Raw genomic sequence first — 22,016 nt, 5'->3', positions numbered from 1 at the left:
TCATTGTCCTGAAGGGGTGAGGAAGGAGCCCCCTTGGCCTCTGTCCCTACCACCTCCTTGACCTACTAGTTGTCCCCCTGTTGACCCAGCCTGAATAGATGGGCCACCATGTGGGGGACAATGCTGCTGAGGCAGGGACTTCAGGGGAGGGAAGGGCTTGGTCGCATTTGAGCAGGGGCGCTAAGGGTACCTGTCTTTCCTGCCCTCTGTGCTCCCTGACTGAAATCAGTGGCGGGATAATCACCCACACCCAGACCACAAAGAATGGCTCAGTCCTATGAAGTGGAACAAGGTCTGGAGGGCCCATGATGAGACGATCCCAGCACTCAAGGTAAAGTAGTGGGAGGGAGAGGAGGAAATAGAGTGAAAAACCAAGGGCCTAGCTTAGGAAAGTTCAGTCCTGGGCAGACAGTCCCCTGAATAAGAATGCGATCAGGGTGCAGGGGCTTGAGGCAGGGATCAGCATCATTGCCTGGGCTATGGGAGGCTTCATGGAGGTGATAGAGCTTGGAACTATCTGTCTACGGGGCACACAGGGCCACCTCTTATGGGTTAGCTCTCTCCCTGCCCCTTTCTCAGGACATCTTGTCAGGCTATGATGAGACCTATACCCTTTTGTCCTGTGGAACCTGGCTGGGCAACTGCCTTCTCCTAAAGAGGGCTCAGTTGTTCCTTTTCCAGGAAGCCTCTCTGGATTGAGATGGGCCGCTCTCCCCAGCAATGACCAGTCTGGGCTAGAGCTGCCCATTTTTTCAGGCCTGGAAAAGATTCAGTGGTAGTCGGGAAGGAATCAGCCAGCAGAGGGAAAGGGTCAGGTTGTAAAATGCTAGTGCCATGAATTTTTGTTTGTTTTTTTTGAGCTAGGGTCTCTCTCACCTAGGCTGGAGTACAGTAGAGCGATCATGGCTCACTGCAATGAACTGCTGGGCTCAAGCGATCCTTCTGCCTCAGCCTCCTGATTAGTGGGGACTACAGCTGCAGACCACCACACCTGGCTCATTTTTTTGTACAGATGGGGTCCCACTATGTTGCCCACGATGGTCTCAAACTCCTGGGCTCAAGCAATCCTCCTGCCTCAGCCTCCCAAAGTGCTGGAATTAAAGGTGTGAGCCACCTCATCCAGCTAGTGCCATGAATAAATGAAGATCTGTAGCTTTCCTCACCCAGAATGGGCTGGGGCAGGGAGAGGTCTCACCCTATCCTTGAATCCCCCTTTCCTGAAAGTCTTCTTTCAGATCTCTGAGGACTCGGGGAGAACAGGCCAGCTGGCTGTATCTGGGCCCATGCAGAACAGAGCTGGGAACTGAGGCCCCGTAGGTAGAATGGGGGGTGGGGCCTCAGCTCTCCCAAACTTCCTCCCTTCCTCTTAGCAAGGGCTGACAGTGATCAGGAACCTTTGTGTGATCCCAGCAGTCATCCTTCTGCCTCCACTCAAGGGTCTCCTCCCAATACACCTACCACAGCCAACAATGGGCATGGGGGGCTGTGGAGGAAGGAGGGGAACTGAAGAGACTGGGCCACATGAGCTGGGATGGCTCCACGGAAGCCTTGTCCCTCAACCTCCTTCTCCTCACCTCAGGGCTTGGCCTCTCCAACCAGCCCAGGTCAGTCCCTCCAGCTACGGTGAGCATGGAGCCTGATGGGGTCACCTTTTGTCCTCATTCCAGGGCTAGGTCCCAGGAATCTTTCCACTTCCTCCTTGGGTTCCTAAGTCTGATTGGTCTTGGTTTTAGGGGAGAGATAGCTGTAGTCAGAAGCCTAGGGGAAGGGCAGGAGAAGGCGGAGGGGGTCCCAGTCCTTCAGTGTTGGAAAGGGGGCTCCAGTCTACTTGGAGGGATGGATTTCTGCTGGATGAGAGATCTGAAACCCCTGGCATCCGTCTGACATGTAGTGGTGGATAGGAGCTCAAAAAAGGCTTGTGGCATGAATGCATGAGGACCAGAGCTGACGCAGACAGGAAGGGGGTTAGGCTGCAGGAAGGAGCTTCATTCTTCATAGAGGACCAAGGAAGGGCATAAAAGCGGCATCTTCCTCTTCTGGGTTTGGTGCGCCCTCTGGTGGTCAAATGACTTCAGGACAACAGAGGCCCTTGGGTGGGGGTCGCGGCGGGGGGTGGTCTTCAACCTTCTCTGCCACAGGCCTAATCCACACAATGATGCCCTTGCTATTCCCCGCTCCTCAGACTCAGGACAGGGACATAAGTGGCAACTAGGTGCGGGCTGCTGCTAGCTTATTAGGGTTGGTGGCAAACAGCTTATGTCTCCCTTGGGCCCTGTGGGCACCCTCTTCCTTCTCTGCTCAGAGGCTGCCCAAGTTGAAGGTCAGAGTAGCAGCAGTTCTGGAATGGGAAGAACTCTCTCCCGCAGCCCAAGATATCCTGTAACAAAAAATCCTGTTTTCTGGGAGAGAATGAACTCCCTGTGCCTGGAGACAGGCAAGCCTAGGCGGGGCACTGGCAGGACATGGCACTCCAGAGGGACTTCTACAGATCAGGAATCAGGAATTTGTCAGCACTAAACCCCTTTCCTGCCTCTCCAGGAGGTTCTACCATTGTGAGTTAGAAGGTAAGAGAAACTTCTTATGTTCTCAGGGCACAAAGACAAAGAGTCAGAACCCTTAGAGACAGTGGCGTTTATCACCCTCAACCAGGCCTGGCTTGGGCTTCACTGTAACTGTGTGACGTGGGGCCAGTGGATCACTTGGGTGCCTCAATTTGGCCTCTTCTACCCATGTGCAGGCTGGTAGGGCAGTCGGGTTGGGCATCTGGTGAGGTTCCCCCTATTGTACCCAGTTACGGCCCCACTCCCCACCATTTCCCAGCCTCCTGTTGCCCCTCTCCCTGTGGAGACGCTGCCTGTGGAAAGGGGCCTCCTTCTGGCTCATGGCTCCCTTCTTGCAGCTGGAGGAATGGGAGCTCAAAAAGAACTTCCTAGTAGCAGCCAGTCAGCATCTTCGAAAAGGAGCGTGTCCTCTCAGGGGCTGGCAGTGGGTTAGGCCTGAGTGTCTGCCTCCTCCACCCTCAGAGGTCTCTGGGCTTTATCCTCATGCTCGCCAGGCACCTGGAAGGCAGGAGTGGGTAGAGGTGAAAGGGTAGCTCCAGGAGCCTGGAAGCCACAGTTCAGGGGTGTACCCCAGAGGAGAAGGAGCAGCAAGGAAGGAAGAAGGCAACTTGGGCCACAGGAGGCGAGGCAGGGAAGGGAGACTCAGAGGGTGTGAGAGCCCAGCAATGTCTCACCTGCCAGTGAACTTGGTCCTCGTAGTGCTGGGAGTCTGGGGGGGAGTCCAGAAAGGGTAGCTTCAGCAGGAGCCCTGGTGGTGGTAGGGGAGGATCTGTGAGGCTTCTCTGCCCCCCACCATGGAGGAGGGTGCCACCCAGTGCCACAGGGCACAGGGGTCTAGGAGGCATAAGACCAATATGATGCCTGTGCAGGCAAAACACAGCAGTATTTGTTGAGCATCTACTATGTGCCAGGCCCTGTGCAAAGTGCTTGACTAGTCTTGCTTTCCTGAGTAATCACAACAACCCTGCAAGGCCAATATTATTCCTGTATTACAAACAAAGAAACAAGACTCAGAGAAGTTAAATAATTTGCTCAAGTGTGTGCAGTTGGTAATAGACCAGTTCCTGATTCCATCATGAACCACAGCTGCTGAGCTTTCTATGGCCTCCCACACAGGAGGGGCACAGGAAATGCTTATTGTGGCCGGGCGCAGTGGCTCACGCCTATAATCCCAGCACTTTGGGAGGCTGAGGCAGATGGGTCACTTAAGGTCAGGAGTTCAAGACCAGCCTGGCCAACATGGTGAAACCCCATCTCTACTAAAAATACAAAAATTAGCCGGGTGTGGTGGGGGTCGCCTGTAATCCCAGATACTTGGGAGGCTGAGGCAGGAGAATCGCTTGAACCCGGGAGGTGGAGGTTGAAGTGAGCTGAGATCATGCCATTGCACTCCAGCCTGGGCTACAAGAGCGAAACTCCGTCTCAAAAAAAAAAAAAAAAAAAAAATAGGCCGGGCGCAGTGGCTCACGCCTGTAATCCCAGCACTTTGGGAGGCCGAGGCGGGCGGATCACGAGGTCAGGAGATTGAGACCATCCTGGCTAACACAGTGAATCCCCATCTCTACTAAAAATACAAAATAATAATAATAAGCCCAGCATGGTGGCGGGTGCCTGTATTCACATCTAACCTAGTGCTTTGCAGACGTTAACATGCAATCAAATCACCTGGGAATCTCTTTTTAAAAGAGTGTAGATTCTAGGCCAGGCACGGTGGCTCACGCCTGTAATCCCAGCACTTTGGGAGGCCGAGGCGGGCGGATCACCTAAGGTCAGGAGTCTGAGACCAGCCTGGCCAACATGGCGAAACCCCGTCTCTACTAAAAATACAAAAATTAGCCAGGTATGGTGGCAGGCACCTGTAGTCCCAGCTACTCGGAGGCTGAGGCAGGAGAATGGCTTGAACCCGGGAGACAGAGGGGATGCTGAATCAGGTTTTATTTTGAAGGCCAAAAAGACTAAGGCCAAACATGAAGAGCGACTGCCTGACCCAGGGCCATGGACAGTGTGCCTCTGTGGAAGGTTTTCGCACTGGGGTCTGGAAGTGGCAGGCCATCTCCTCCCCTCCTTGTCCCTGCCCCACATGGCGCAGCCATCCCCTTCTAGGCCTCAGCCTGAGGTTGGGCTTCCCTCTAGTGGGCAGAGGGAGCAGCACAGGCAAGCATAGACCCATAAGAGAGGGCCTCGCTCACCCCTCGCGGACTCCCCAGCTGCCCTCGGCACCAGAAAGGAGCAAGCACCTGCATGCACCTCTGTGCCTGCAGGAGGTTGGTTACCCCTTAACCCACAACCCAATCCCTACTTTATGGCACAAAGTAGATGCTCCATAAATATCTATGAGTGAATGAATTCATGTCAGGCTTATAGGATCCCATGCCCCTTCCTCTAGAAAATCCAAGGTTACTCACCTCCAAGGCCCCCGCCCACAGAGGCAAACATCAGTGTGACAAACAGCCCGAAGAGCTGGTGCATGGCCTGTGACGTGGCACTGCGCTGGCCCTCGGCTATGAGTGGAAACACACTCTCCAGGCTGCAGGGAGACCAGATAGAGGAAAGGCAGGGGTAGGGAGAGAGAGGGATGCAGCCCGGGGCCAGGGCTGCTCATGGCACTGGAACTCACACTGGGGAACAGGAAGTGGCCAAGAGGGTCTCGAGGGTGCATGCCAGGCTGAGTCTCACCTCCAGGCCACTGCTCAAGCCAGGCCCACAGCCTGGAACACCTTCCCACCCTTGTAGGCCAGCAGACACCTAGGCACCTTTTAAGACTCCATTTGCGGGTTGCTTTTGCCCACCCTTGATGTGCAAAAATAGATCCTAAAGGTCATTATCTCTTACTGACCCTTCAGTAACAAGTAACACTCTTGAAGTCATTTGTTCCATGACCTTCTGCTGCACTTGATAGAGGACCAGGAAGGCAGTTTCTGGGTTGGTTTTGTTAACTCCAATTTCCTTTGCTCCCAGAATATGGATGAATGAATGAATTCATTCTTTTTTCTTGGTCACACACAGTGAAAGAGAATGACAGAGGTCATTCCAGATGGATGACGACTGCAGTACGGGTTGGGAGGAAACTCACCCATCTCCGTAAGCTTCATGGGTGGCAAGTCCAGCCACAAGGACCCCCAGGAGGGCCCCCAGGACCCCCGGCATCCCATGGAGGTTGTGGACTCCACATGTGTCTTGGACTTTGAATTTTGATTCAAGGATGGGCTGGAGGGCAAGACAGATCATGAGTCTCCTGTGCCCACTCCCCACCACCTCATCCTGTTGGAGAGGCGGGAGGAAAGGTACCAAAGACTCCATGTTCTGCCCAGGCTCCAAGAGGCATCTATACCGTGAAGAACTTGTACCCCAGCGTGGAGACAGTCCCAGCCAAGAAGCCAGCTGCCAGAGCCCCAAAGGGTGTCAGCATCATTTCACTTGAGGTCCCCACCACAACCCCTCCAGCCAGCGCTGCATTTTGGATGTGGACCTAAGGGAAGAGCAAGGTGTTGGAGGCCCTTTCAGATTGTCACACCCACAGCAACCCAACCCTACACACCACAGTGACACCTACTGCTTCTGGAAGTCCCTCTGCCATCTAACCTCTCATTGTCCTGCTACCATATCGCCTCCCATTCTGATCCCATAGCCACCAGCACAGATGGAGCCCCTATGCCTGTGCCCTTATCTGTTCCCCGGGAGAATCTTTCTTGAGGGTCTCAGACCTCTCCTCCCCTGCCCAGGCCACCCCCTCTGCCTCTCTGAAGTCCTCTTCCCCATACCATGTCAAGCCTCCCATCTTCCCCTACAAGGGCTGACAAGGCAAAGGTGCCAAGGGTGCTGGCAGCCAGGGAGTAGTATGTGTTGAGGGCCGTCCGATGCTGCCCAGCCCCCAGCGCTGTGAGTGCAGCATTGAAGCTAGGCCAGAAGATCCACAGGAAGATGGTCCCTAGATGGTGGACAGACAGGCAGAGTGAGAAGAAGGAAGTGACTCCCACGCAAGGTACAAGTTGTATAACTGCAGGCAAATCACCTACCCTCAGCAGCCTCAGTTTCCTCATATGTTCAGTGGGATTGATAATAATACCACCTTGGGCTGGGCACGGTGGCTCACGCCTGTAATCCCAGCACTTTGGGAGGCCGAGGCAGGCAGATCACTTGAGCTCAGGAGTTTGAGACCAGCCTGGACAACATAGTGAAATCCCATCTCTACCAAAAATACAAAGGAATTAGCTGGGCATGGTAGCACATGCCTGTAGTTCCAGCTACTTGGGGGGCTGAGGCAGGAGGATCGCTTGAGACTGGGAGGCAGAGGTTGCAGTGAGCTGAGATCGTGCCACTATACTCCAGCCTGGGCTGCAGAGCCAGACCCTATCTCAATAATAATAATAATAATACCACCTCATCAAGTGGTAATTAAATGAGGCAATGCACATAAATGCATAGCCCATGGCCTAGCAGGCACAAAATGCCCAGCAAATGGCAGCTATTGAAGGGCACTGGCCCAAAAAGAAACTACTTTGTTGAAAACCACGTAACGTTGAATTTTTTTTTTTTTTTTTTTTTTTTTGAGACAAGGTCTCACTCTACCACCCAGGCTGGAGTGCAGTGGCATGATCCCAGCTCACTGCAATCTCTGCCTCCCAGGTTCAAGTGATTCTCCTGCCTCAGCCTCCTGAGTAGCTGGGACTTCAGGCGCCCACCACCACACCCAGGTAATTTTTGTATTTTTAGTAGAGATGAAGGGGTTTCACCATGTTGGCCAGTTTGGTCTCGAACTCCTGACCTTAGGTGATCCGCCCACCTCAGCCTCCCAAAGTGCTGAGATTACAGGTGTGAGCCACTGCATCCGGCCAGAACACTGGCATTTTTTAAGTATCAAAAAAGGTAAAGAAGGCCGGGCACAGTGGGTCATGCCTATAATCCCAGCACTTTGGGAGGCTCGAGGCAGGCGGATCACAAGGTTCGGGGTTCGAGACCAGCCTAACCAACATGGTGAAAACCTGTCTCTACTAAAATTAGCCAGGCATGGTGGCACACTCCTGTAATCCCAGCTCCTCAGGAGGCTGAGGCAGGAGAATTGCTTGAACCTGGGAGGTGGAGGTTGCAGTGAGCCAAGATCATGCCACTGCACTCCAGCCTGGGAGACAGAGCAAGACTCCATCTCAAAAAAAAAAAAAAAAGAAAAAGAAAGGAAAGGAAAAAAGGCAAAGGCCACTGCATGTCAGGGACTATGCTGGGTACTTGATACACATATCAGGAAAACAATGATAACCTCAATCTCTCCTAGAGAGGGTGGACCCTTCAGTGTTTGGGAGAGGCCTCTGTTTGCTGAGTACTGAATGGGCTGGGCCTGTGCATTTTGGGAAAGAACTGGAAGCCCATTTACCCTGCCTTCCTGCATGAGGTTCCCAGGTCCATCCTGGAGGGAGAGACAGAAGGACCCAAACAACAAGGTGAAGGAGAAGGCTGGGGACCCTGTGGTGTAAGCCAGCAAGGTGGGAGGCTTAGGGACCACCGTGTCCTGAGTAGTCTGTTGGGTGTGGCTTCTCCCAGCAGCCCGGCAATCTGGAGTAAAATCTCCCACACTCACATTTGCATCCTGTAGGTGGAGCGTTTGTGGGAGAATCCAGGAAGGGGCCTCATTCCTGTCTGGGTGACACTAAAATCCAGGAGCTGGGAGGCAGACAGCTGAGAATGTAAGTCTCCTGGGAATGCCTGGAAAACTTGGGGAAGCCTTTGGAATTCAAGGCAAACTTATCTGGGTCTCAAAGGGCAAGGAGGCCTCAGCTGGCCTGGGGTTCTTTGTACTCTGACCCAGCAGTGCTGAGCAATCCTAAGCCAGCCTCTCTGTTTCATATAGGAATAGGTACTTCAGTCCCTATTCAATACCTTCTATGAAAAAAAAATTAAAAATACAGATTTGCCTTCTGTCTGCAGTTATGAAAATAGAGGAACAGAAGCTGAGGTGGAGGCACATGCTTAGAAGCAGGTGGTGGTAGCCGGGCGTAGTGGCTCACGCCTGTAATCCCAGCACTTTGGGAGGCCGAGGTGGGTGGATCACCTGAGGTCAGGAGTTCGAGACCAGCCTGGCCAACATGGTGAAACCCTGTCTCTACCAAAAATATAAAAAATTAGCTGGGTGTGGTGGCACGCGCCTGTAATCCCAGCTACTCGGGAGGATGAGGCAGGAGAATTGCTTGAACCCAGGAGGCAGAGGTTGTGGTGAGCTGAGATCGCACCACTGCACTCCAACCTGGGCAACAGAGCAAGACTCTGTCTCAAAAAAAAAAAAAAAAGAAGAAGAAGCAGCAGGTGGTGATGACAGATGACAGGGCTCCTAGCTCCTATGGGTCCCTGGGGTGACCCAACACCCTTCCTCTCCTTATCCCTGCCTGAGAGTGCAGGGGCTTCCAGGCATCAGGAATCTCCCGGGAGGAAATATCCTTAGGAGGCGGAAGGCAGCACCAGGGGCCGGCAGAGATTGCCTGTTTGCCGGGAACCAGACAGGCAAAGGCCTGGAGGTGAGGGCAGGCAAAAGCTGAGTCTGGCTGGAGCCTGAGCCAGCGAGGAGGGAGGAGGAGGGGCTGACGTGGCAGCTGAGGAGGCCACTTTCTAACCTGTGGCTGGTGGGAGCCCTGGAAGGTTTTAAGTAGGATGGAGGTGGATTTAGAAAGGACCCAGGGCATATGCATTCCCCAGGCTGAACTTGTCATAAAACTGTTGAGAATGATAAGTGCAGGCAGGTCCCAGAGCTCTCACAGCAGAATCCAAATGGGAAGTGAATGCCCACAACCCCAGGACTGCAGTCAGCACCCCGAGAGACAGTCACCTCTGGCCCAGATGAGGCCTCCAGACCAGCCCCCTGCCCTGCTACCGCACCTCGAAGGCCTCACCAATCATGGCGAAGAGGTCTGAATGGTAGACGGAGCCCTGGCGGTGCTTGCTCTTCTCCAGCTGGGGCCTGTACAGAACCCGCGAAAGGACGAGCCCGAAGTAGGCACCAAAGGTGTGGATAGTCATGGAGCCTCCGGCATCTCTCACCTGGGGAGGTGGGGTGAGAGGCAGCACCCCGCCCCCACCCCCACGCTCCTGGCTCAGAGGCTGACCTTGACCACCCCCCACCCCCGACTCCATCCCTCCCCAGACTCTCACCCCCAGGAGATGAAGGAGCACAAACTCATTGATGCCAAACAGCACCACCTCCAGCAGGGCCATGAGCAGCAGCTGGGTAGGCCCGGTCTTGCCCAGGACGGCACCAAAGGAGATGAGCACGGCCCCCGCACAAAAGTCAGCATTGATCATGCTGGGGATGGGGCAGAAGTGGGAGCACAAGAGGGGTCAGAGAGGCTGGCCTCGGGGTTCCTGCCTGGCATGAAGCCAGGACAGCATGATGTGGTGGGTGGGGTGGGGTTGGAGTTCTGGAGAGAAGACAAGGAGCTCAAGCTCCTCCCTGGAGTTGGAAGGGATCACCTGGCCCTGTTTGTAGATGAGGAAGTCGAGTCTCAAGGAGGTTCTGTGACTCATCTGACAAAGCCCACAATAGGTGGAAGAACCAGAGCTGTCTACCCTTCCACAGCTCTTGGGGAACAAGGGCCCTAAAGACTGAGGAGGTGGAGCTGAGTGTGAGGGTCAAGGATGGGAGAGGAAGTCAGGCAATAAGGACAGGCAGGACACCTAGAGAAACCAAGTGACGCCCAGAATCGTGAGTCAGGAAGCAGACTTGAAGGACAGGGCTAGATCCGGGGCCCATGGGCAGGGGCCTCCCGAGTGAACCTTGGGGAGCTGGGTGGGTGGCGGCTGCCCACCTCTCCACGCCAACATGGATGTGGCCACCGTGGAAGGAGTGGAGAAAGCCCTGGACCAGTGTGGACCACTGCAGGGCAAAGGCGGCCAGGAGGAAGGTGAAGCCCACGCTGCTGAAGCCGTAACGCTGCAGGAAGACCATGAGGAAGCCAAAGCCCACGAAGACCATGGCATGCACGTCCTGGAAGCCTGCAGCGGGCAGGGACAGGCGGGGCACTTGGGGGCTGCTCTAGCCATAGCCCACAATCCAGTCAGCTACCCTGCCAGTGCCCCTGGCTCTCACCAGCCAGGGCTGCCTTGAGCCGAGCCTATAAAACTCCCCAGGCATGTCAGGGGCTCCCAGCCCTGAGCCACCTGCGCAGAGCTGGCCAGCTTGGAGCAGTGGGACCCCGACATCCCTGCTGTCCTCGTGTCAGAGCAAGGGAGTAAAGCCTTCTGCTCTATTCATTTGCCCCATCCCTGGGTCTCTTACAACAGACTGGCTGGAAGTCCAACCTGTGCTCTTTTCTGCTGCTGACTCTCTCCATGCTCAAAATTCTCCCCACTACAGACTTCAACATTTCCTCTGCTAGAAAGTCCTTCTTGACATCTACCCTTCATCCCTCATACTTCAGAGACTATACCTCTTCCTTTTGAGGATTTTTAAGTTATTATTATTACTAGATGTCTCGCTCTGTCACCCAGGGAAGAGTGCAGCGGCATGATCATAGCTCACTGCAGCCTCAAACTCCTGTACTCAGCCAGTCCTCCCACTTTGGCCTCCTAAGTTGCTGGGACTACAGGTGAGGCCCACTGTGCCCGGTTATTTTTTTAAAAATTTTAAGGAGGTTGGGCACAGTAACTCACACCTGTAATCCCAGCACTTTGGGAGGCCAAGGCGGGTGGACTGCTTGAGGCCAGGAGTTCAAGACCAGCCTGGCCAACATGGCGAAACCCGGTCTCTACAAAAGATACAAAAATTAGCTAGGCATGGTGGCACGCACCTGTAATGCCAGCTGCTTGGGAGGTTGAGGGACAAAAATTGCCTGAACCCAGGAGGCAGACGCTGCAGTAAGCCAAGATCATACCTCTGCACTCCAGCCTGGGTGACAGAGCAAGAGTCTGTCTCAAAAAAAAAAAAAAATTTAGGAAATAGCTTTAAACTGTTAACAGAGATGACCTCAGAGAAAAGGAATTGAAGGAAGAAGGAGACAAGGCTGCTGTGTTGCACAACTTCAATGCAAATGATGCCCCCTGGAGTTGTGCAACATGGTGACTCTGGGAAGGATGATTTTACTTTTTAGTTTCTTTCTATAGTTTGAATATTTTAACTTTATAGATGAATTACTTGAAATTTTTAAAGAGTCAGTGAGGTTTATGGGCAGGAAGATTTGCGGCCTTTTCTGTTTGGTTTCTATTCTGTACCACTCTGAATAAAAAGCTAAACCGATAAAAATAATATATAAGGCTGGGTACAGTGGCTCACACCTGTAATCCCAGTGCTTTAAAGGCTGAGTAGGGAAGACTGCTTGAGGTCAGTAGATTAAGACTAGCCTGGGTAACATAGTGGACCCCCCTCCATTTATATAAAACAATAATAATAATCAGCTTGGCATGGTGGCATGTGCCTGTAGTCCCAGCTACTCGGGAGGCTGAGACAGGAGAATCACTTGAACCCAGGAGGTGGAGGTTGCAGTGAGCCGAGATAGCGCCATTGCACTCCAGCCTGGCAACAGAGTGAGATTCCGTGTCAAAAAAAAAAAAGAAAAAGAAAACAAAAATTATGCTCCCCTTTATTTTGTGGAATCTGATGAGGCACACCAACAAGTCAGAAAATAATTATTGAATTTTATTTATTTTTGTAGAGATGTCAGTCTTGCTATGTTGCTGCCCAGGCTGCTCTCAAACTCCTGGCCTCAAGCAATCATCTCACCTCAGCCTCATGAGTAGCTGGGATTGCAGGCATGAGCCACCACACCTGGCTCAATTACTGAACTTTAGAATGCAATCAGTAACTTTGACAGAAGCATGCTTTTATGCTTTTTTTTTTTTTTTTGTGCCATATGCATGGGCAGATAGGAAATGAGTTAGCAAGGCCCTGGACAAGGGCTGGATATGTACTGAAATTAGAGGTCTGAGGCTGGGCGCAGTGGCTCACGCCTGTAATCCCAGCACTTTGGGAGGCCAGGGTGGGTGGATCACCTGAGGTCAAGAGTTCAAGACCAGCCTGGCCAATATGGCGAAACCCCGTCTCTACTAATAAAACAAAAATTAGCCAGGTGTGGTGGTGCACAGCTGTAATCCCCCAGCTACTAGGAAGGCTGAGGCAGTAGAATCGCTTGACCCGGGAGGTGGAGGTTACAGTGAGCTAAGATAGTGCCATTGTACTCCAGCCTGGGCAACAAGAGCGAAACTCTGTCTCAAAAAAAAAAAGAAATTAGAGGTCTGCAGCTGCCAGCCCTAGGGTTGGGACACTAAATGTCCCCAACTCTGCACTGCTTCTCCAGACCTACCCACTCCCCAAATCACCCAGATCCTAAAACAGTAACAGATGAATGGATAAAGAAAATGTGGTACATATACACAGTGGAATACTATTCAGCCATAAAAAAAGAATGGAATTCTGGCCAGGTGAAGTGGCTCATGCCTGTAATCCCAGCACTTTGGGAGGCCGAGGCAGGCAGATCACCTGAGGTCGGGAGTTCAAGACCAGCCTGACCAACATGGAAAAACCCTGTCTCTACTAAAAATACAAAATAAGCCAGGTGTGGTGGCGGGTACCTGTAATCCCAGCTACTCAGGAGACTGAGGCAGGAGAATCGCTTGAACCCGGGAGGCAGAGGTTGTGGTGAGCCGAGATTGTGCCATTGCACTCCAGCCTGGGCAACAAGAGCGAAACTCCATCTAAAAAAAAAAAAAAAAATGGAATCCTGTCATTCGTGGCAACATGGATGGAACTGGAGGACATTATAAGTGAAATAAGCCAGGAATGGAAAGTTAAACACCGCATGTTCTCACTCATATGTGGAAGCTAAAAAAAAGTTGCTCTCATTAGAAGTAAAAAGTAGAACAAAGGATAATAAAGACAGAAGAGTGGGGGAAGGGGGAATAGGGAGAGATTGTTATAGGATACAAAATTACAGTTAATTACATCTAAGATAGAAGGAATAAGTTCTAGTGATCTATACCTAGCGATCCCCAACCTTTTTGGCACCAGGCACCAGTTTCCTGGACAAATGGTTGGGGGGTGGGGGATGGTTTTGGATTGATACTGTTCCATCTCAGATAATCAGGCATTAGATTCTCATAAGGAGTGCACAATCTAGATCCCTCACATGCACAGTTCGCAATAGGGTTCGCGCTCCTATAAGAGTCTAATGCAGCCATAATCTAACAGGAGGTGGAGCTCAGGCAGTAACATTCACTCACCTCCTGCTGTGCGGCCCCCATCCTAACCAGCCTAGGGGTTGAGGACCCTATAGCACTGTAGAGTGACTATAGTTAACAATAATATATTATATCATCTCAAACAGGAGGAGGATACTGAATGTTCCCAACACAAATAAATGATAAACATTTGAGATGATGGGGGAAAAAAACAGAAAGGGAGAGGCATCACTTAAAACTCAGCCTGCACCCTAAGTTCTTTTAGCCTCACTGCCTGGCTGCTTTTCTCCTTGTGCAAACAGTAAAGAGAATCCATGTCTATTCTTGTGCTCAAGGACAGCAAGATAAGGAAGGGTGTTGGGTCCAAGGGCTCCTGACCATTACATGCCAAAACCAGTCCAGAACTTGTGTGGTATAAATGTTTACATCTCCCACCCCAGGTTTGTTTGGAATCAAAACTCAAGGCTCTGGCCTTTCAACTGGAGTCTAAACATCAAGAAATCTCCTTCTCTGGGAACATTCCACAATGAGAAATTCTTTTTGGGCTCTGAGAGGTGAGGGGATGTTCCAGCTGGAGGTGGAGGAAGAAATAAGGCAACCTCTCAACATCCCCTTTAGAGGATGCCTGTGCGGGTGGGATGGAGTCTGATGCCCACCCCACCCCACCCCCACCAAATCCATACACTTTTTTATTTTTTTGCGACAGTTCTTGCTCTGTTGCCCAGGCTTGAGTGCAGTGGTGCCATTACAGCTCACTGCAGCCTCAACCTCCTGGGCTCAAGCAATCTTCCCTCCTCAGCCTCTAGAGTAGCTAGGACCACAGGAGCTTATTACCATACTGGGCTAATTTTTTTATTTTTTATAGAGACGAGGTCTCACTTTGTTTGTTGCCCAGGCTGGCCTCAAACTCCTGGCTTCAAGCAGTCCTCTCACCTCAGCTTCCCAAAGTGCTGGGATAACAGCATGAACCATGGTGCCCAGCCCCAAGCACCTTTGATTGGAGAGAAGATAAAGCTCTCCAAAGCCACCTGTTACTCTCCCTCCTTCCCTTGCTGCCCCTCTGCAACCCAGCTAGATAACTCCTGGACCAGACAAGATTATGGGAGAAGACAGCTGTTAAAGCTGGGGCTTTTGCATCTAGCAGAGCTCGATTTAAATTCTAAGTCTGGCCGGGCGTGGTGGCTCATGCCTGTAATCCAAGCACTTTGGGAGGCTGAGGCAGGAGAATTGCTTGAGCCTGGGATGTGGAGGCTACAATGAACTGTGATCATGCCACTGCACTCCAGCCTGGATGACAGAGTGAGACCCTGTTTCAATGAATCAGTTAATTCCATGTCTCCCCACCTCCTTCTGATTTTATGACCTTGGACAACCCTCTGAGCCTGTTTTCTCATCTGTAAAGTATGGATATTAAATATGATAATCAAGAAGAAGCAGGGGGAGCTGAGGGGGCCATCTCCCCCAACTTCCCCACCATCCATCCCGCCTGCCTCTAGGGGACAGTGGAGCTGTATTCTCTCTCCTAGAAGAGATCACAAGCCACTCTGGTCCTGGTCACATCCTTCATCCCCCACCTCTTCCAAGAAGATCCTGATTCCATCTATCCTAAATCCCTCTCTCTGCAAGTAAGGTCTATGAGATGTATGAAAAAAGAACCTGTCCATATTTTTTCAGAACCCTTTCTCATGTTTGCTTCTGTGGCCCTTTAGCCCTGGCTCTTTCCCCTTCTTTGTTATTTTTCCATCACTTGCTTTCTGGAAGAAGAGGCTTGTAGTGTAGGGGGAAGGCCACAGATGGGCAATCAAGAGACCTGGTTCTAGCCTGGCTCCTTCTGTAACTTGCTGTGTGACTTGGCCAGGTCACATGACCTCTCTGACTCACTCTCAGCATCTGAGTGGGTGAACCAGATGGGCTCTCAGCGTCCTTCCAGCAGAGAAAACAGACGGACCCTCAGACTAGCCATGTCTTGGCATTGGCCAGTCCTGGAGCTCAACAACAGTCACACAACTCCCTTTCATCTCCCGAATCAAAGGGCAGTGGCTGCACCTCCCTCTGGCCCTGACCCCTTCCCTTGGGCACAAGGACAGGTGAGGACCCGGCTCATCAAAGCCCCAGGCTCTAGGGACCTTGCACCTCCCGCCTCCCCAACCTTCCCCCACAACAGTATCCAAGTCCACAGGAATGGAAACCTAGGGCAGAAAAAGAAGTAGGAATCCCACCTTTTATATCTCTCTTATTGCAATTCAGGGATGAAATGCTGTATGTCCAAGGAGAGCCTACCATTGCAGCACAGGGGCAAGAGGCTGGACTCCAGGGAAAGCTTTGTAATAAGGAGGCTTCGAGGAGAAGCAAGTCAGGGGTTCATGGCAAGCAGCCAGGTCAGACCCTTACGCAACAGCTTAGTTCTGTCAGACTCTGGACTGTTCCCTCCCAACTCTCTATCCTTCTTTTCTAGCCAGGGCTGTGGATGAAATATGGGGAGGGAGGAGCTGTAGCCCCTTCTGCCTAGGGTGGGTGGGGGCTCTGGTGCTTCACACCCAAGTCCAAGTTTCCACCTCACTCTCTATATCCTTAGCATTTTGAGCTTCATTTTGTTGGGTCTAGAACAGGGTGAGGTGGGGATAGCCTGCTGATGAGCTCTGCATACAGAAAGTAGGGTAATAGGGCCAGGTGCAGTGGCTCACACCTGTAATCCCAGCACATTGGGAGGCCGAGGTGGGTGGATCACCTGAGGTCAGGAATTCAAGACCAGCCTGGCCAACATGGCGAAACCTCATCTCTACTAAAAATACAAAACTTATCTAGGTGTTTTGGTGGGTGCCTGTAATCCCAGCTTCTCGGGAGGCTGAGGCGGGTGAATCGCTTGAACCTGGGAGGTGAAGGTTGCAGTGAGCCGAGATTGCGCCGTTGCACTCCAGCCTGGGCAACAGAGTGAGACTCTTCTAAAAAAAAAAAAAAAGAAAGAAAATAAGGTAATGAGAGCTGGAAATTTTTAATAGGAGACTCTCACACTCTAGGCCTTGTTTGAATGTATCTCCTTTAAACTGAGGCATCCTTTTTCCCCTTGCTCAGATGGGGAAAAACTGAGGCTTGGAGATGACCTGCCCAAGCACTTGTGATAAATTCTGGGAGATCTGGTGCTCTTGGTCCCAGCTGCCTAGGGCCTGAATTGCAAGGCAGGGTCCCCAACCTTTGAAGGTGAGGCTCTATTCCCATGGGGCTGAGGGTGGGGGTGGGAGGTTAACTCTGTCTTTATTGAAACTTGTCAGCAGGCAGGTGACTTGTGGGGCAAAAAGTTTAGGATGCCTGAGTTCTAGTTCCAGCTCTGCCACTCACATGATGGGTGATCGTGAACAACTCACAACCCCTCTGAGACTCAGCTTCTCCTTCTGTGAAATGGACTAATGACGCTGCCATGCTTCCTGCCAAGTCTGGGGGCTGCTGCTCTGTGATTAGCAGGTAGATGGTGCTTCATTTTCTTTCTTTTTTTTTTTTTTTTTTTTTTTTTTGAGACAGAGTCTCACTCTGTCATTGCCCAGTCTGGAGTGCAGTGGTGCAATCTCGGCTCACTGCAACCTCCACTTCCTGGGTTCAAGCAATTCTCCTGCCTCAGCCTCCCAAGTAGCAGCGATTACAGGCGCCTGCCACCACGCTCGGCTAATTTTTTTTTTTCTCGAGATGGAGTCTCGCTCTGTCACCCATGCTGAAGTGCAGTGGCGTGATCCTGACTCACTACAACCTCTGCCTCCTGGGTTCAAGAGATTCTCCTGCCTCAGCCTCCCAAGTAGCTGGGACTACAGACACCCACCACCACACCCAGCTAATTTTTTGTATTTTTAGTAGAGACGGGAGTTTCACTATGTTGGCTAGGCTGGTCTCAAACTCCTGACCTCGTGATCCACCCACCTTGGCCTCCCAAAGTGCTGGGATTACAGGCATGAGGCACCGCGCCCGGCCTAATTTTTGTATTTTTAATAAAGATGGGGTTTCACCATGTTGGCCAGGCTGGCCTTGAACTCCTGACCTCAGGTGAACCGCCTGCCTCCCAAAATGCTGGGATTACAGGTGTGAGCCACCACGACTGGCCAGTTGCCTCATTTTCTCTTTGTCTCTGAAAGGACCAGCTTTGAGGGACTAGGGAAGAAATGCCTGATCCCAACTGGTCTTGGCTGCCTACACGTGTGGGCGATTCATACCTAACACCTGCCATTATGACCGCTCACAACCCCACTCTTACCTTCCCTGCCCAGCAGGATTCTCTTTCCCATGCTCAGGGTGGAGCCCCTAGGAAAGGCAGTCTCTGGAACAGCCCAGCAAAGCCCAATTAGGCCAACTGAGATGTGGGACAAGAGGATGGTTAAAGCTGGGGCTCTAGATCTGGCTTCCAATCCCAACTCCCTGACTTGTGACTGTGTGACCCTGAATCAGCCACTTAACCAAGCCTCAGTTTCCCCACCTTTGTCTAACTCATAGACTAAGTGAGATAAGGCATATGTATCAGCACGGTACCCTGGATCATAGCAGGCACTAGTGAAAGGGTGAGATTTTAAACCCAGAGCCCCTCCACCTCAGAGCGAGACGGCTGCCCAGCTAAATGCGGGCACCCAAATGCTCCCTCCCAAGACACCGGAGGGTCTTTGCAAATCTTGGGGTCTTTGCTTCCCGCGCGCCCTCACCCCGCACTCACTTGGGTAGCGAAAGTAAAATTCATTGTCCGCGTTACTGTGGTTGCTCCGGTGCCAGAGGGCAGCGTCGGTTTTGTGGTTGTAGCGGACAAAGACAGCAAAGAGGACGGCAGTGGCGCCCTGGAGGAAGAGGCACAGCAGGGGAAGCTGCAGTCGCCGGCCCGCGGCGCGGCTAGGAGACCCGGCCATGGGTTGGGCTGCGATCTCGGCTGGCGCTCGCAGGCTTTGGCAGACAATTCCCGGCGGCAGGGCAGGTTTCACGGAGCCCCGCCCACAGAGGCCCTGCTCACGGAGGCCCCGCCCTCACCTGCCGCAGGCCCAGGGCCCCGGGGACCAGGAGCGGGGCGTCGGGGGGTCCTGGACCCTCGGCCCAAGGTAGGGCCAAGACTTGGGGAAGGGAGTCGCACAGTCCTGGCGCTGATCCTGGCACTGTTACGGTGCCAGGTCCTTGGACGCGACCCTGGAAAGGCGCCATGTGTTCTGCCCTGATAGGGCACAGCTGTGGGACCTGGGGGTGGGAGAACCCGCACCCTCATACATGATGTTACTTTAGAGTGTCTCCCAAAGAATAAATGGCCCTTAAAGACCCCGGTCTGGGCTGGGTATGGTGGCTCACGCGTGTAATCCCAGCACTTTAGGAGGCCGGGGTGGGTGGATCACTTGAGGTCAGGAATTCCAGACCAGCCAGGCCAACATAGTGAAACCCTGTCTCTACTAAAAATACAAGAAAAAAAAATTAGCTGGGCGTGGTGGTGGTACACCTGTAGTCCCAGCTACTTGGGAGGCTGAGGCAGGAGGATCGCTTGAATCCAGAAGGCAGAGGTTGCAGTGAGCAAGATCGTGCCACTGCGCTCCAGAGTGGGCAACAGAGCAAGACTCTGTCAGAAAACAAACAAACAAACAAACAAAACTCTGGTCTGGCCCCTCTAGGGTTAACACAAGAGAGAGTTAGGGTTTACTTAATCTTTTTCCCTACTGAAAAAGCAGAGATGGAAAACAGAGATAAATAGTGCTCTCCAGGCACTGATGATTAACCAGGCTGGGGCGTCTGGGCCTCTGCAGTGGAGTCCCTTACACCGCTCCAAGCGGTGTAAGGTAAGGGACTCTCCCCCTTCCTACCCCCAATCTGTACCACACCACAGGGAAGCAGGCTGGGCAGGGGCCACACTGACACCCAGGTTCCCTGTGTGCCCACTGTGGATGTGAGAGAGCCTGGGCTGCCTCTGCAGCTGGAGCGGAGGGAGGCTGAATGCAAGGAGGGCTTCTCAATTCCAAGTCCAGAGTTCCTCATTACCCAAGCAAGATTGGCATCCACTGGGGGCCCGGTAGACAGACATGGAGGAGACAGACATTTATTGAACACTTACTGTGAGGCAGGCTTTGGAGATGAACCAGATAGCCCCTTCCTCCAGGAACCACTGTCTGGTGTGGAGACAGACACTTAGGAGGAAATTTGATTACCAGTGGGATAAGCGACCAACCCAGAGAAGAACAGAGACTGCAGGGGTCCAGGAGGAGGGGCCGCAGAGGCCCCAGGGATAGGGGTAAGGGAGGGGACTGAGATGGAGAATTGCTTCCTGAGAAGGTAATGAATGTATGAAGGTGATCTGGAAGGACAATCTATGAATTGGACAAGTGAAGAAGGAAGAGGAGACATTATAAGAAGTGGGACCAACATAGACCGAGCCTGGCAGTGTAAGCATCCCGTGTGTTCAGGAACTCAGGTTGGGGGAGGCTGGGGGTGGTGCTGGGAAGGCCCTGAAGGCCCTGCTAAGGCACAGGGCCTCTACTCAGTGGGTTCTGGGCCACTGAAGGGTTCTAAATAGGTGTGGAACCCTGGCACTATTGGTTCTGACACCTGACACCTCCACAGGGTGAAGGCAAGTATTCCATGGGGCTGGTGGGAGGGGAGGCTCTCTGTCTACGCTGCAGCGGCAGCCCATCCCAGGCCCGCCTGTCTGAGGGAGTCATAGTGTGGAAGGAACCCGTGAGTGTCTGTAATGGTGTCACAAACCCCAGTCCAAAGGAAAAGCTGCCACTCCCATGAGTATGGCCTAGGTCCCCAGGGGACAACCTCCCCCCAGAACAGATGCAGGGTAGGGCTGCTTCTCAGGAATGGGCAGGGATGGGGTCAAGAGTAGAGCCCCTAACCTCTTCCTTTTCTTTCCTCCTGCCCCTTCCCCAGCTCACTTCTACCTCCCCTCAGGGGCTCCAGCCTCTGACACACAGTGGGCTCTGGAGGACAGTTGGATTCTAGGTATCCAGTTTCCCTAACTCAGGTGCCAGCCAGGGGTCCGACTCTGGGTGGCAGACTCTGGTAGCACTGCGCCCGGCTGGCCAGGCGGGCTTTCTGACCCTCAGTGGCCTCTGTCCCAGAGAGACTCTCTGTCCCTACTTGCTCAGCAGGAAGCTTGCTTTCTAGCCCTTCCTGGGGCAAAAGGTATATCAGGTCAGAATCCTTTGTATAATGATTCAGCATCTGGAGGATCCACCCAGGCCCAGCCTTCTGCCCCAAGACACTGCCTAAGTCCTGTTTGGGAGTGGGGGGTTGCTCAGGGCTGTCCAATCAGGGACTGGACAGGCCCTGGGATGGGAAGAGCCTTCAAAAGCTGCAAACCAGGGAAAACAAGGAGGAGTAGGCTGGGCCTTCCCAGCATCTTCTGGGAACTGCCTCCCTGATTCCAGCCTCCTCTATCTCTTTGTCACCTGTTGTGGCCCTTAGTCTCTTTTAATTCCTCTGGGTCTCTGATTCTCTCTCCTCTGTTGCTCATTCATTCACTCAACAAATACTCATTTAGCACCAATCCTGGGCCAGGTCTGGGGCTACAACCACAGGTTCTAGTCAAGTTATAAAACAGGGCTCGGTCCTGGGGCCCCCTGCCTGGCAGGTGTTAACCTCTTCATTGCTGGATTATGGGGAGATCTAAAGGAATCCCCCTGGCCCAGGAGAGCTGGGCCAGTCTCTGGAGGGTAAACTTAGAGACCTTTGGGCAACAGCTACTTGCCAACTTGAATGGGATAATCTTGGTATTTCAACAGCCAGTGAGCACCAGCTGAGCTGGTATCAGCCCTGGTCCAGCAGAGAGCAAGACCCAGGCAGCCCTCCCCTTCTGAGGGTCCCCTCCCTGGCTCCCACCTGTCTGAGGACTCCCCTGCCAGGCTGCCACCTGAGAGGATCTTAGAGGGCCCCCTGGACCACCACCTACCAAACACTATGGAGAGGCTTAGTCCATGGTTTCCTTTTGGATTGTGAAGTGATGTCAAGGCCCTTGGTCCTTCCCCTGCCTCCTCTGGCCCTGGTAGCTCTGAAGGAATGGTGAGGGCTTCATCTCTCACTCCTCCTTCCACTCCAGGCCTCCTCTGAGAAGCCCCTGACCCCACCATCAGCTCTCATTCTGCCTGGCCTGAGGTCTGTCCCATCTTTGACCTTCCATCTCCAGATTCCAGCTGTGACCAGCTGAGCAACAGAAGGGTGGCCAAGGGGAACCAGTGTCTGCTGCCTGCCCTGGCCAAGATTGGCCAGTTTGTCCCTGGGGACCAAGTATTTGAGGTTACTGAGTAACTTGGGGCTGCTCAGAGCTGATTTCTACCAGGGTCAACTCCTCCCAACCTCCTGCTC

At 52.8% G+C, this 22,016-nt stretch overlaps 1 protein-coding gene across 7 annotated transcripts; it reads right to left on the bottom strand.

Annotated features, from left to right (window-relative positions):
• Positions 1-2,616: 2,616 nt before the first annotated feature.
• RHBG (Rh family B glycoprotein) lies at positions 2,617-18,625 on the bottom strand. Of its 7 annotated transcripts, NR_146763.2 has the most exons (12): positions 18,400-18,625; positions 15,932-16,654; positions 13,107-13,229; positions 10,349-10,535; positions 9,696-9,846; positions 9,437-9,584; positions 6,323-6,489; positions 5,893-6,030; positions 5,635-5,768; positions 4,967-5,088; positions 3,236-3,422; positions 2,617-3,059 (listed from the first exon to the last, which is right to left on the bottom strand). NR_146763.2 is itself a non-coding variant. In NM_001256396.2 (11 exons), exons 1-11 carry the CDS (start codon positions 18,421-18,423, stop codon positions 2,991-2,993), a joined length of 1,287 nt encoding a protein of 428 aa, NP_001243325.1. In that variant the 5' UTR covers positions 18,424-18,625; the 3' UTR covers positions 2,617-2,990. The 7 variants fall into 7 exon arrangements, 3 of the variants coding, with proteins under 3 accessions (NP_001243325.1, NP_001243324.1, NP_065140.3); NR_046115.2 differs by lacking the exon at positions 15,932-16,654 and having other exon boundaries at positions 3,236-3,309; positions 9,423-9,584; NR_146765.2 differs by lacking the exon at positions 15,932-16,654 and having other exon boundaries at positions 3,236-3,525.
• Between the last annotated feature and the right edge of the window lie 3,391 nt (positions 18,626-22,016).

Source organism: Homo sapiens, chromosome 1, assembly GCF_000001405.40.
Source record: "Homo sapiens chromosome 1, GRCh38.p14 Primary Assembly".
NCBI classification, from domain to species: Eukaryota; Metazoa; Chordata; class Mammalia; order Primates; family Hominidae; genus Homo; species Homo sapiens.
The sequence above is the reverse complement of the archived record's forward strand: the minus strand, read 5'-3'. Positions and strand labels throughout refer to the sequence as shown.